The sequence below is a fragment of the Homo sapiens genome, chromosome 21 (assembly GCF_000001405.40).
Source record: "Homo sapiens chromosome 21, GRCh38.p14 Primary Assembly".
Classification (NCBI taxonomy): domain Eukaryota; kingdom Metazoa; phylum Chordata; class Mammalia; order Primates; family Hominidae; genus Homo; species Homo sapiens.
Window position 1 is genome coordinate 40,512,283 of NC_000021.9, and position 15,958 is coordinate 40,528,240.

General features: G+C 39.8%; 1 protein-coding gene and 1 non-coding gene across 4 annotated transcripts in view; one reads left to right on the top strand and one right to left on the bottom strand.

The window, feature by feature from the left end:
* DSCAM (DS cell adhesion molecule) overlaps positions 1-15,958 on the bottom strand; it is an 836,160-nt gene that overhangs the window by 501,284 nt on the left and 318,918 nt on the right. The gene's annotated exons all lie outside the window — the stretch shown is intronic.
* LOC124900473 (small nucleolar RNA SNORA51) lies at positions 862-997 on the top strand. The gene has a single exon (XR_007067946.1). It is a non-coding gene; the product is annotated as a small nucleolar RNA SNORA51 (small nucleolar RNA).

Below are 15,958 nucleotides of genomic sequence, written 5' to 3' on the forward strand. Positions count from 1 at the left end.
ACAAACACTGACTTCACACCTACTCTGGGAAGTCACCCCACTGCACACTGGGGATACAACAGCAAGGACAGAGGTAGGTTTACTCTCCTACTAAATCTTATCTCTATTACTTCACGTCATTGGAAATTATGGGTATCTTGTGATGTTCTGGACTCTAAAATGTCAGAGACATGTGAATGAAGGAGCGAAACGTGGTGATCCTCAAAGCCTGTAGGAGAAGTGGGAGAGGAGAGAGTGGGAGGCTGTCTTCACGTTTGCGGCATTGTTCTGTCTCCATCTATTGCCAAGGGCCAGTAGAGGTCAGAATATTCTTAGCAGATTATTGACTTCTGATTATTTGATTAATCAATGATAGAAACTGTTGTCCATTTGTCGATTTGTACCGTTGCTCAGTGAAGTTATCATAGTAAAGTTATAGTACTGTATAGTTATGCGCCATAAGAGTAACAGTGCTCTGACCTCCCTCGTTCACACCTGGGCAAGGCCTCCCCCGAGACCCATTAACGGCACAACTGCGTCCCTAGTGGCCATTCCCAGAACTGCAGGGGAGGGAAGGGACCATAGAAAATTCTCAGCTTCGACGCTTGCCCATTTCCTCCACTAATTTTTATTTTTATTTATTTATTTATTTTTTGAGACAGAGTTTCACTCTTGTTGCCCAGGCTGGAGTGCAATGGTGCAATCTCTGCTCACCGCAACCTCCGCCTCCCGTATTCAAGCGATTCTCCTACCTCAGCCTCCCGTGTAGCTGGTATTACAGGCACGTGCCACCACGCCCTGCTAATTTGTTGTATTTTTAGTAGAGACGGTGTTTCTCCATGTTGGTCAGGCTGGTCTTGAACTCCCGACCTCGGGTAATCCGCCCGCCTTGGCCTCCCAAAGTGCTGGGATTCTTACATCGACTGCATAGAAAGAGGAGAGAACATAACCTACCTACCCCGTACATACTTCAGCCCAGGTCCTGTGCCTCATCTGTAATATGAATGAAGAGACATGGAGAACAGAAAAGAAAAAAAGAAAGGAAAATCTATCTTGGGAACAACAACAACAAAATCTAAGAACACAACTATGCATATATGTCTTAGTCTGTTTGGTGCTGCTGTAAGGGAATACATGAGGCTGGATAATTTACAAAGAAAAGATTGATTTGGCTTATGGTTCTGTAGGTTGTACAAGAAGCATGGCACCAACATCTGCTTCTGGTGAGTGCCTCAGGGAGCTTCAAATCATGGTGGAAGGTGAAAAGGGAGCAGGTGGGTCACCCAACCAGAGAAGGAGCAAGAGTGATGGCAGGAAGTGTCAGGCTCTCTTAAATAGCCAGCTCTTGCATAAACTAGTAGAAAAAGAACTCGCTCATTATCACAGGGACGGCACCAAGCTATACATGAGGAATCTTTCCCCATGACCCAAACACCTTCCACTATGCCCCACCTTCAACATTAGGGGCCAAATTTCAATATGAGATTTGTAGGGACAAATATCCAAACTATGTCAACATGGTGTTGAATGAATGGACAGAATAAAAGCAAAATAACATATTAGAGAGAGAATTTAAAAATAAAAAAACTGTATGTAACAACAACAACAACAACAAAAACAAGTGAAGTCAAAAATAGTCAAAATACCCTCCAGGCACCAGATCACAGATTGGGACAGAAAACAGAAAGGCACTTCATTAATTTTCAAGGCTTTGCACTCAAAACTGCTACATAAGCAATGCAGTGACAGATTGCATACAGAATTCATAAGGAACCTCCAAGGCCATTTGTGTGATCAGGACAGACAACCTGGGCATGAACTTGAAGGCACACATTTTTCGTCAAAAATGTGCCAAAATGAAAGCAACCTCCCAAAACAATTTAAGAGAAACAGTGGCAAGTGCAAAGAAAACTGGACAGGTATGGTGAACCCTACTCCTTATTCCCAAAGAAGTATAGGAAAGCTGTTGCAGAGCCCTGCATGCTCAATTTACAATTCCTGGATCAACGTTTTTCCACCCTGTTTTCACTGAGCCAGGGAGCCATCCAATGCTTCATCATCCCAGGGAAAATGAACAAGGCCATCTTATTAATTGGACTACATCACCCTTTTTCCTCTTAAAACAGGGCTCACTGTTAGAAACTCACACTGGATTAGCGAGAAAATGCTCCAGGCTTCAACTTAGCACATCAGAAAGTCAGAGCTTAACTCCTAATTTAAAATAAACCCTGTATTTTTGGTTGTTTTCCTTTTTGACATTGCATAAAATGGATTATGCAATAAATAGCAGACAGACTATTCACGTTGCACCAGTGCATATTCTAATGTTCTGCAGCAACATCTAATGGTGTAAATAAGATGAAAAAACTAACGATCCTTTATGAAAGATTTTTTTTCTTTATGGGGCATAATAGCATGCACAAATGGACCCTGCAGAACAATTTGCTTTCATTCCTTATTTTCGCTCTTATACTAGTAAATGTGGGATAAATGTATAATGTCTGTTAAACATTCATAATTATTAAACCATCAACGGAGCTTATCAAATCCCACATATTCCTCTCCAATGAGCTCTTTAAAGGGAACAACTTTGATTTAGAGTATAAAGATGTGGAATGGGTCAGCTGATCATTCTGGCCCCAAACTGCGGCAAGGGTGTTGTCTTGGAAGGAAAAGGAAAAGCTAAACTAATGCAGCCTATAGCTTGTGACGAAAGGACATTTTTCAAATTTTCAGAAGCGAAGTTAAGAAAAGATTACTTAGAAACTGGCACTGCTTAAAAATATTGGTACATCAGTAAAGGCTACTTCTTATTTCAGAATATTAGTAGGGTAATTCCTACTATAATCTGAAAACTAAAGAAGTATACATTTACAAGTGTTGACGTTCCAGATTTTCAAAAAGACTGCGAATTCATTTAAGAAAAAATAAAAATAACTTTTGCACACTGCTCCTTTTCCTTGAAAAAGAGTTTTTGCCTAAAGCTATAGACTACATTAACTTATTGTTTTGAAAAAAATATATAAACGAAGGAACAGTTATACGAATAGTACAGTAACTGTAGCATACCTTCCACTTCCACTCACCACTTGATAACAAGTTGCCTCATTTTCTCCACTGCTTTCCCTTTCTCTCATTCTAATGAAAACACTTATTGTTACTGCTGAACAATTGGAGAGTAAACTGCATACATGATGTCTCTTTCTCCCCAAAGGTTTCAACATTATCTTCTGAGAACAAGGACAGTCTTTTATACAACCACGGAACGGTGATCAATTTCAGAAAAAAATTAAAATTTAACTGTGATGGTCTTTGATTTTAAGAACTTAGAGGAGTGTTGTAAAACTCCAATTGAAGGTAAAAATACTCTTAAAAATTGCAGTCTTTTCTGACTCCTCACTCAAAACAAAGTAAAAGCCTCATGAGGGCAAAGATTCAACTTTATTCCCGGGTGCACAAGCCCTCCCAGGAGAGCTTCACACTCAGCGCACTCGTAGGCAATGTTAACTGATTTCAAAAATTATTCTTCAAACAATATTTAATTATTATGAAGTATCTCATGTGTCTAGTATAATACATGAAATCATTCTTGACTATGTTTAACGTCAAGAAGGTTGTTATGACCCACATTCTTGGGAACATGATATACTTTTTAAAGGACTCTACAAAACTTTCTTTTTTTTTCATAGATAACCCTCAAAGATTCACCTAACTCTTGACTAATTTTGAAATATGTTCTGCATGTGTGCCACTAATTTGGATTTTAACATCCAGTGGTAGCGTCTAATGATAAGGTAGTTCACATTTCAGACTGATTAAAGGATCATTTAATAATTTTATTCTTTTATCTCCCCCACCATACACACACACACACACAAATCTTTCAAAAGAAAACCAAGCACTCTCTCCAAACTGACCTCTATTAAAATTAATTTTTTTAATAACTGCTTGGTTTTATCACTACTTCCCCAAATGCTAATTAATTCTAACTCTAAACTATGTAATTATAATACTTCTGCTGAAATACAAATTATCTGGTGCCCCTGGGGTGAACAAGTAAGAATGTATTTCATGTTCCATTCAACAGAGGAAATGCGATGTTTCTCAGACCATGGAAACAATGTAGCAGCCTCCCTGGCTCCCCTCCCCCAAAACACTGGCAGTTCCTGTTTCTTCCTCTTTAGCAGGAAGACAGGAACAGAGTTGACAGTTGGCATCCAGTCAGTTTAATGCCTCTCTCCATGGGGCTGTGAGGAACGGTGGCATGCCCAGTTATTTTTGGCCAGGCACGGCAACACACAGAGCCTTGAGGAGCCTTCATTTAGGCAGTGGCGGCCAATGTACCTGCAGAATGTGAATTGACGTTGCCATGGAAATAGAACAACTCTTCCCGGTTCTGTCAAAATGCATCTCTATCTGCGACTAGGCAGAGGTCAGGAAGGAGAGAAACACAAGTGCCAGGGAGAACATTCGAGAAGGGAAGGACTCTGCAGTGCCCCAGTGTGGGAGAAATTTGATGGGCTTTTTCTGATAACATTCATATACACTATTGTGTTTCAAATCTGGATCTTGTTTATTCATTAGACAGTAGCAAATCCGGATACACACACATGCGCACACACACACCATATATATATATATATATACACACACACACATATACCTTATATATTTATATATACATATTCACCTTACTCTCTGTAAATATACATATATTATATATATACATATATATACACCATATATATACCTTACATACTAACATATGTATATATATATATACCTTATATACTCTGTGTATATATATACATATGTTACATATATATGCACTCACATATATACCCCCACACATACCTTATGTGTATATATATATACCTTATATATTTACATATAAATACAAATGTACCTATTCACCTCATATACGCTCTCTCTGCATATACATATATATGCACACATATATATGCATCCACACACACACCTTATGTGTGTATATATATACCTTATATATTTATATTTGTGTATTTATATATTTATATATAAATGCAAATGTACATATTCACCTTATATACTCTCTCTGTATATACATATATATATACACACACACATATACCCACATACACACATCTATACACACACACAAGCAACACACACACACACACACACACACACACACACAGACACGCATATTTTCTTCTGGGACCCAAAGCCAGCCTTTGCAGCCTACCATATAACATTGTTAGGGTCTCATTTTTCTCAGTTTTCACACAAGGTTGACTCAGGTAATCTCTAAGCCCTCCTTTTCTAATATGTCTATGATGCCATTTAACATTCTGTTTTCAGTCTTAATGTGCATTTAGCCCATTCTACCTGGAACTTCAACAAAACCATGAAAACAGGACAGTGCATGTCATAAGAACACATAAATAGGAGCTGTGTAAAAAACCAAAGTGCTTCCTCTCTGATCCCCTCTTTGGAATGTAGTTCTGGGGTGCTGCTGTGGGCACTGAGACCTGCAGCTGTCCCTAGGCTTAACTCTTGAGGTGGCAGGAGGAAAGTGACAGTGCTGTGTCCCTGGCAGACTCTCATTACTGGAAATTTGTTGCTGCTGCCTGTTCCTGAGTTCAGCCTGGGTCCAGCCCAGTGCTCTCATTTTTCATCACCTGTTTGGCCCTGCACATGGCTCTGAGTATGAGCTTTAGCCCAAATGCCAACCTCTGGGTCCCATGCTTTTCTGGCCTCTGCAGACTCTTGGTTCACAGAGACATGGGTGCTTCATGCAGAGGGTGGGCACACCTTGGGTCCAGGGACACAGGGGACCAAGGAGGGCACATAGAACCTCCATGATGGGTATTAGTGAACCTCGATACTGAGTATTCCTAAACACAGAGTGAATAGCCGATATTCCAATTCAATAGGAATCTGTGTGTGCATTCCAATGGACCCTTGAGTTCTGACCATTTGCAAGAGACCCTGAAGGCCTGAGATGCGTCCTGTCTTGCTGGGTGAGGCACAAGCCCAGTCATCTGCTGACATGTGGCAGCCAGTCTGTCAAAGAGCCTCGCAGACCATCTGCACATATTTTCAATGCAGTTTGCCCATATATATATATAATATATATATAATATATTATATATATTATGTAATATATATTATATATATTATATATATTATATAAATTATATATATTATATATTATATATAATATATATAATATATATTTTATATATATATTATATATTATATATATAATATATATAATATATATTTTATATATATATATGTACACACACATATACACACACACATATATACATACACACACATATACACACACACATATATACATACACACACATATATATACATACACACACATATATACATGTATATATGTGTATATATATGTGTATGTGTGTGTATGTATATATATGTATATATATATACACACACACCACCTAAAACCTTAAAATTTTACTTCATTGAGTTATAGGAAGAACATCCATCCATCATGATACAACTGTGCATGGCTTAACAGTGGGATATGTTCTGATAAGTATGTCATTAGGCAATTTCATTATCATGCAAACACCACAGAGTGTGCTTAATGCAAACCTAGATGGCATAACCTACTACACACCTAGGCTTTACTGTGTAGCCTATTGCTCCTAAGCTACTAACCCATACAGCATGTTACTGCATAAATATTGTAGGTAATTGGAACATAATGTTAAGTACTTCATTTCTAAATATACCAAGCATAAAAGTGGTACAATAAAATGCGGTATTATAATCTTATGGGACTACTGTCATACATGTAGTCCGATGTTGACTGAAATGTCACTATGTGGTACATAACTGTATTTATGAATCTGGTAATTCAAGAAAATGTCCAGATAGCCCTTTATTTTACTCTTCCTAGGCATGTGTAAATATATGACGGTGAGTGTTATGTGTGAGCTTGGCTAGGCTGTAATAATACCCAGTTATTTCATCAAACACGAATCTGGGTATTGCTGTGAAGGTGTTTTGTAGATATGGTTAACATCTACAATCCAGTCAATTGAGAACCTTATGAAAAAAAGTCTCAGTGCTATGGTCTGAATTATTGTATCTGCCCAAAATTTGTGTTGAAATTCTTACCCACAAGGTAATGGTATTAGGAGGTGGGGATTTGAGAGCCCTCATGAACGGTATTGTGCACTCTTAAAAGACACCTGAGAGAGACCCCTTGCCCCTTTGGCCATCTGAGGATAAAGCAAGAAGGCGCTGTCTATGAACCAGGGAGTGGGTCCTCAACAGATACTGGATGTGCTGGTGCCTTATTCTTGGATTTTTCAGCCTCCAGTAGTGTGAGGAAGAAATTTCTATTGTTTACAAGCCACCCAGTTTATGGTATTTTTGCTGTGACAGCCCAAATAGACTAAGACACCCAGAGGAGAAATTGTGACTCAAGACCATAACATAAAAATAGAAATCATTCTTGAGCTTCCAGCCTCTTGCTTTGCCCTACAGATTACAGACATGCCAGCTCGACAATTGTGTGGGCCAATTTCTTTAAGTCTCTGTCTCTCTCACTCTCTCTCTCTCTCTGTGTGTGTGTATGCGTGTGTGTGTGTGTCCATACACATATAAAATACCCTGTTGATTATTGGTTCTAGGTAACTTGAATCACTAGGGTAGTTTAAATCAAATCATAAAACACATGACCTTCCTTCTTATAACATTCTAGACTCTAAAATTTGTTGCCCCTGACTCTTAATATAAGCACATATTTATATTATTTCAGATCTTGCATCTATTAGAAGGCATTTAACAACTCTAAATGAATATGTTTCCTTAATGACATAATTCATTTGCCCTAAATTATATGTGAAGTAGATTAGCTTGCAATAGTGGAATAAATTGCTCCTAGAATAAATTCTAGGAGCCATAAAACTACAAACTTCCAGTTGAATTTTGGTGGTATACTTACTTGCTCTCATTCTAGAGGCACACAGGTCAGTAGTTATACCTTACTTTAAATACCATCTTTCTTCAAGAGAAAATAATTCTCTGCAATAATTATAGCAAGTCAGTTAAGAGGAGCAGGATTCAATGCAATGCTATTATCTTCCAGAAAATATGCTTTTCATGAAAGTATTTCAAAATCAAAGATTGCTGTCAACAATTTAAATGCATTAAATATTTTTATATTTTATAGATTCTTGAGGAGGAAATAAAACACAAACACTAACGTGAGAATGGATGAAAAGTTATGTAGTGTGTGGCCGGGCACGGTGGCTCACACCTGTAATCCCAGCACTTTGGGAGGCCGAGGCGGGCAGATCACGAGATCAGGAGTTCGAGACCAGCCTGGCCAACATGGTGAAACCCCATCTCTATTAAAAATAAAAAAATTAGCCGGGCATGGTGGTGTGTGCCTGTAGTCCCAGCTACTCAGGAGGCTGAGGCAGGAGAATCGCTTGAACCTGGAAGGTGGAGGTTGCAGTGAGCCGAGATTGTGCCACTGCACTCCAGCCTGGGTGACAGAACAAGACTCTCTCTCTCTAAAAATAAATAAATAAATAGAAAATATATGTAGTGTGATGTAGTGTGTATATAAGGAATTGCAAATCATTGTATTTGAGTTAGCACATGAGAATTGAGCTTAAATGGCCTTTGCTTGTTTGCTTAAAAATATCACATGTACCCTGTAAGTATGTACAAATATTATGTATTGCTAAAAATTTAAAAATACTTTCATAGATTCTAATAAAATAAAATTTCAAACAACTTAAAAGCACTCTTTCTGTGTTTTACAATAATTCAAGAATCCCTACTGTATGTAGAACAGTGTTTCTCAACCGGGGTCATTTTTGACCTTCTGATGACATTTGGTAATGCCTGGAGACATTCTTTGTTGTCACAACTGGGAGTGAGAGGGTGGGTGGTACTGACATCTAGTGGGTGGAGGCCAGGGATAATGCTAAACATCTTAAAATACACAGGACATTTCCTTTGGATGTACACTCAGGAGTGAAAGTACTGGATCATATGGTAGGTCCACTTTTAGTTTTTTGAGAAACCGCTATACTTTTTTCCGTAATGGCTTTACTAATTTTTATTCCCACCCACAGTGTGTAAGGGTTTCCTTTCTCCACATCCTCAGCAACCCTTGTTATCTTATTATGTCTTTTGGATAATAGCCATTCTAACTGAAGTGAGGTGATACCTCATTGTGGTTTGGATTTGCATTTATCTGATGATTAGTGATGCTGAGAATGTTTTCATATACCTGTTGTCCATTTGTATATCTTCTTTTTAATTTTTTTTGCTGTCTTTTTGCTGTTGACCTGTTTGAGTTCCTTATGTATTCTGAATATTAACCCCTCAAATACCACGTTTTCACTCATATGTGAAATCTAAAGTCAATCTTATAAAAATAGTGAATAGAATGGGGTAAGGAGTAGGAATAGGGAGATGGGGAGTGGAGGGTCAATGGGTACAAAGTTAACGATGAGAAAGGAGAAGTGCTGGCGTTCTGTTGCACAGTCTGGCAACTACAGTCAACAACAAGGTACGCACATCTCAAAATAGCTGTCATAGAGGATTTTGTATGTTCCCCAGAAAGAAATGATAAATGTCTGAGGTGATGGATATGCTAATTATCCTGATTTGATCATTAAACAACGTATACACGTTTCAAAACATTACGTTGTGCCCCATAAATAGGTACAATAATTGTGTGTCAATTAAACTTTTTAAAAAATATATTTAAAAATGCATAGGACAGTTCGCCACTCCCTCCCCGAGAAAAAGAATTATTTTGCCCAAAATGTCAATGGGTTGAGGTTGAGAAACTCTGCTATAGAACAAAGCTAGGCATAAGGTATGTGTTTCCCATTGGCATGTGCCGTATTAAGGAGTGAGATAGAAATCTTTATTAAAGTAAGGCCAATATAAGCAGTTAGTAGACAGAAACCCAGTACAAACTCAGAGTAAATGGTGTTGTTCTCCTTAGGAGAAGAGCTAAGCAAACAAAGCCCATTTCAGCTCAGTTACCATGTGCTGACACAAATCCACAACAAGGGATAATAGCAAAGCAATTCGTTCCACTTGATTATAGTTCATTTTGCTCAACAGGAAAGTCAGATTTGATGTTCATGATCATCAGGCATAAATCCTACAAAATGTATTTAATAAGAATGCAATGTATTTTTAACTGCCTTCATTAATTTGATTGTCCCCCCTTTAAAACAATAAATAATGACTAAATCTAGGTCACGTTTTCTCTTTGGGCCTTGGCTCCTCAGTTTCAAAAGTGGAGAGTTCTACTCTGTGAGTCCTTTAGTTCATGAATCCTTGCTGATGCAGGATACATATTTTTTTCCTTGAAAGGGAAACAGAATTGATCAGCTGATAGGTGTGATCGTCATGAGCAAAACAAACTTCGCTTTAAGAAGTTATCAAATCTCTGTATCTAAAGAGAATTTTCGTCAAGAGTTTTCGAGATTCAGATGCCAAATCTTCCTGTTTCCATTCGCAACTCCATCAACTCTATCTTGCCACCTTGCTGCCCAGAGTTGAAAGCAGCCTGGTACTCAGGGCAGGGAAGGCAGAAGCACATGTAATTGTCACATGCGGTAGGAATCAATAATCGACAACATAATGACATTCAATGAACAATTTACACTGAAGGTAAATAAATTGTTGATTTCATGTTTCGCTTACACATAGTGCAAAGAGCTCTTCACCACGGCTCTGGTGATGAAGGCTTTGTATTTATTAATTTTGTTGACCTTGGAGAAATAACTTTACTCCTCTATTGGAGTTTCCTATTGAGTAATGCTGGCAGACACCTAGACACTTCATAATTTTAAAAAATGCATACTTTCTAATTAATGAAGGAATAGTGATACAGAAGCGGGCAGGGAAGTGTTGGGTAGAGGAGGTTGTGGTCCCTGACTAGGGCTCTACTCCCAGGCCTGTGCCCACGGACCTAGGTGAAGGCAGACATTTCTGTTTTTGTGCCCAAATATTGCAATTCCCAAGACCACCCTGGCCTGCCATGCCCCCATCCTGTGCCTATAAAAACCCCGAGACTCTAGCGGGCACGCACACAAGCAGCTGGATGTTGAGAGGAACACATCAGTGGAAAAAGACACAAGTGGCTGGACTTCGGGAGGAATGCACCGGCCTAAGAGCACACCGACAGAAGCCAGCAGGCCAGCAGGCCATTGACCGGTGAATGCCGCAGAGTTTCGGGGAGGCAGAGGGAGGAGAGCCCTGGTGGCTGAGCGGCCCAACTCCAGGGGAAAACCACCTTACCACTCCATCTCCCTTCTGGCTCCCCCATCTGCTGAGAGCTTCTTCCACTCAACAAAACCTTGCACTCATTCTCCAAGCCCAGGTGTGATCTGATTCTTCTGGTACAGCAAAGCAAGAAATCCTGGGATACAGAAAAGCCCTCTGTCTTTGTGATAAGGCAGGAGTCTAATTGATCTGATACGCACAAGCCACCTGCACATGCTAAACCAATAGAGCACACAGTAACACACAAACACACACACACACACACACTGGGGCCTCAGGAGCTGTAAACATTCACCTCTAGACGCTGCCATGGGGTCGGAGTCACCACAGCCTGCCTGTCTGTATGCCCTCTCCTGAAAGTTTGAGCAGTGAGGCACCGAAAACACGAGCCACACCCCCATCACACACCCTGAGAGGGGGACAAAGGGACTTTTCCCATTTCAACAGTATCTTAAGAACTTGAGTGAATGTGTGAGCTTGATTTGATGAAAGAAATTCGGCTTATAACAAAAAATGCCAGTAGCTACCATTTAAACAATCTTAGTGGCAGTTGGGTCCTTAAGAAAATTTATTTATTTATTTATTTTAAACAACCAGATCTCATGAGAGCTAAGAAAATTTAGATCATGAGCAACTTAAAGTTAGAATTTTCATGAACAAATTTTTCAAAATTTTAATCTGTCATTTTCCAATCTAATAGCACATAAAAATCTAAAATTTGGAAAATTAACAGATTTTCCGAAACCTTTATTTTTCGTTAATGAGAGAACACCACAGGATAATTCTCTTTTTTTTCCTTTTCTATGTTTTTATTTTTAAACTTGTCCTTTTTCTTTGCTTGATAAAGTAATTTAAAATATTAGATATTCCTTAAAAGGTTGAATAGAAAAAGTTATATTACATAAAATCTTAAGTGCTTATATACATATATAAACACTTTACATAGAGTTAAGATTTTTCAGCGCTTTCTGTGTTATCATGTATTAACAATCAATACAAACTCTTGGTACACATGTCTGCTAAACATAGAATCTGGACAAGTCAACTAATTCATTCTTTTTTTGCTTGAGTTTTCTGGTCAAGAATGACTTTATAATAGACTCAGGGAAAACTTTTTTTAAAAAGTAGAGAAAGACAAATTCTTTTTGGGAAATGCAGTATTAAAAAATTCACAGGGCCAGGTGTGGTGGCTCATAGCTGTAATCCCAGCATTTTGGGAGGACGAGGTGGGCGGATCATGAGGTCAGGAGTTCAAGACAAGCCTGACCAACATGGTGAAACCCTGTCTCTACTAAAAAATACAAAAATTAGCCAGGCGTGGTGGCATGCACCTATAATCCCAGCTACTCAGGAGACTGAGGCAGGAGAATTGCTTGAACCCGGGAGGTGGAGGTTGCAGTGAGCCAAGGTCATGCCACTGCATTCCAGCCTGGGCAACAGAGTGAGACTCAGTCTCAAAAAAAAAAAAAAAAAAAAAATCCATTCACAGAAGACTGTGAAATTCAAATACATTATTTTCAATTCCCATGACATTTACACCAGTGATATGCTAGAAAGATTTCAGAAAGGCTCATCATAACTTTATAAATAAATCTGTTCATACTACTTGTGTTTTTACATACTGTTGAGTCCCAAAAGTGGATTTTATTTGTGACGTATTTAATTCATGGCAAGTATATACATATAATACAGCATTACATAAATATACTTGGAAACAACAAAAACTAAACTTGAAAATGATGCCATTCCTCCAGTTTTTGGAGAATGAGGCATGTCTTCCTCTTTTCTGTCTAGCAGTGGACAGTGGTATAGTCAGAACCAGGTTAAAACAGATGTGGTCAGGGACCAAAAGAGTGTGTGTGAGGGCCCTGTAAGCAGCTACACCACGGGGGTTCATCATACAAAGTGGGTCTTTGTGTTACAGATCTCCAATGTCATGAAACAAACATTCTTTAAGTGAGAAGAACAATTATACATTGCTGATAAACACTTCCGTGAATGTATCAAATGATTTGCTAAGATATTAAAACTAGTAACTTTTCAGAGTAATTTGGTTTCCATCAAGAAGCCTTCTGTGCAAGGAGGAAATAGCCACTCTCAATGTCTTGGATCCAAGAAACTACTTATTTGTCACCATTTTCTCTTTTCTCCTGTTAAAGAACAAGGACTTTAAAATTAGACAGACTCAGCTCCCAGCTATATGGTCTCAGAAAATTCACTTAATGTTTTGAGGTACCCTCATTTCAGTCTCAGCCAAGAGGGCTCCTACTGAAAACCCCTGTGGCCTTCCATCTGAGAACCTTCTCTTGGCCAGCAAACAAGACAGAGCATGAACAGACCTCAGCCATAGATAAGGTGGGCTCCTGGTATCTCAGACATGATCATTTGAAGTGTACTGTACCAAATCTCTCGGGGGCCCCAGGTGGGACTGAACCCCAGTTTCCCACACCAATAAACTGCTGGACAACACCCTCTCTACTGACTTCTTTTCTTTCCCATGTCCGTTCCCCAATTTCCTAGGATACTTTCTGGGCCTGCCTCTGAAAGAAGTTCCTTACACTCAAATTCTTGTCTAGGATCTTGCTTCTCGGGGAGCCCAGCGTCAGAGGCTCCCATCAACCTCCCAGCTGGAGCTGGCCCCCAGAGGCAGAGCTATAACTCTGCCTCCAGCTGGGTGGTTCACACCTAAACCCTCTGAGCACTTTGCAGAACTTAGTTTTTTTCAGGGCAAGTACTTAGCAGAGAGGAGAAGGTGGGAATATTGTTCATGCCTTGTTTGTGACTTACCACAAGGCCAAGCCTTTCAGGGACATGTCACTCCCTCAAATGAAACCCACTTTTATTTGGCTTATTCAGGGAGAAGGGGGTGAAGGCTACTCAGAGGGCTCCATCCAAGCCTTAACTGACACAGGTGCTGCAATGAGAATATGAAACTGGATGCCTTCCCCTTTTCAGGTGTGTAGAAGACAAGGACATCTGCCAAAAGAGGATGGGGTGAGAGATGGCATGGTAGGTGAGGCCGGGGGGTGGGATTCAGGGAGATAATGAGAGCCCTCGAGGTAACTTCGGGCTGGCCAGGAACTTTGCTTATCAGATTTTTGCAGCAGTTTGAAGAGAACCATTAGGGCACTTCAACAGAGGCCTGAATACATTAGTTAGCTTGATTGTGGCACTCAGTTCACAGTATATACATATATCAAAACATTGTGTTATATAATTTAAATACAGAGCACTTTTATTTGTCAAAATCAATTAGTTAATTAAGAAAAAAAAAACAGAGCTCTGGATTTGATCCTGAGTCACTTTCTCAGTGGTACAAAATATGCTGGCAGGGGAGCTATTTCTAAGAATGATGCTCAGAGCTTTGGAGCCAGGAGGTCAAGGTGCTTCCCTGGCCTGTGTTCCTGAGCCCCTGCAAAGTTAGCAGCATTTGCACTGCCTGGTGTGGCTTAAAGTCCCTGCCCTGCTGTTCCATCCCTCTGATCTTTCCAAGCAGGTGGCTCTGGCCTCTGTGTCTCTTTAGGGCATTTGCTCTGTTAAGCTCCATTTTTCTCTGACCTTCCTATTCCTGATAGTGTCCCTATATGGACATACAGGTGAAGCTCTCACTTCCTAAATGCTTCCAGCCACACTGCCTTCAGACAAAATCTACCCCATGTATGGTAGATGCCAAAAATAGCCATAATCCTCCATGTCTCCAAGTATCATAGCCTTTACAATGATCTTCACAACTCCTCCTATCAAGTCCCATAGTCTTCTTCTCCACTCTAGCCACATGGGGCATCTTTGTATTTCACATTGGCCCACAGAATGTGAAAGAAGTTGCTGTGTACCAGCACTGAGTCTAAGCTTCTGCACACTCTCTCTCTGAAACCTACTGAGCTACCATGTGAGGTAGTCTAGGGTTGCCTGCTGGACAACAGGAAACAATGATCCAGTTCTCCTTATCTTCCTAACACATAGCTGGCAACCAACCCCAGGAGAAGAGCCACCTCTCTGACAGGCAGCTGCTCATAAACTCATGACTGAACCTAGCTGACAGCAGAAGAACCACCCAACTGAGCTCAGCCTAAATTGCCAGTTCACACAATCATGAACTAGACAAATAGCCATTGTTCTAAGCCACTAAGTTTTGAAGTAGTTTGTTATACAGTAATAAATAACAGATACACCCTGGAATAAATCCAGTATAATTATATTGCAGTGCCTGTTTCTGCTGTCATTGCTACTGGTGCAAAGGAAACATGAAGCTCACCCTTGCCTCTGGAGGAAGAACCGTGGGTGAAATCCTGAGACAGAAACCCTGTATGCGGCTCTCCTTTTATCTGAAGACCACCCGCCTCATAGCTGTGGAAACAGGAGCGGATGCTCTAATCATGCCACTAGTCATCTCCAGGAGTTCTGCCATGTAAGGTAACCTGGTCTGGCTGCCATCCATCATCTCTGTGTCTCAAAATATCACAGCTCCTTTTTAAACCTCAAAGCCAAAAAGCAAACCTTTCAACACTGGGGTGGTTCAGTGCCCAAAACCATAGTATTTCTACCATGTTCTGATGATGACTTCATAAATCATCATTGATTTAATTTCACAAAGCTCTCCATGACATAAGCACAGCCATAGCCACAGTCCTGACCCATATTTAATGGTGAAATTCAAGAATCTACTATGTGTTGGGATTCTCCTCTT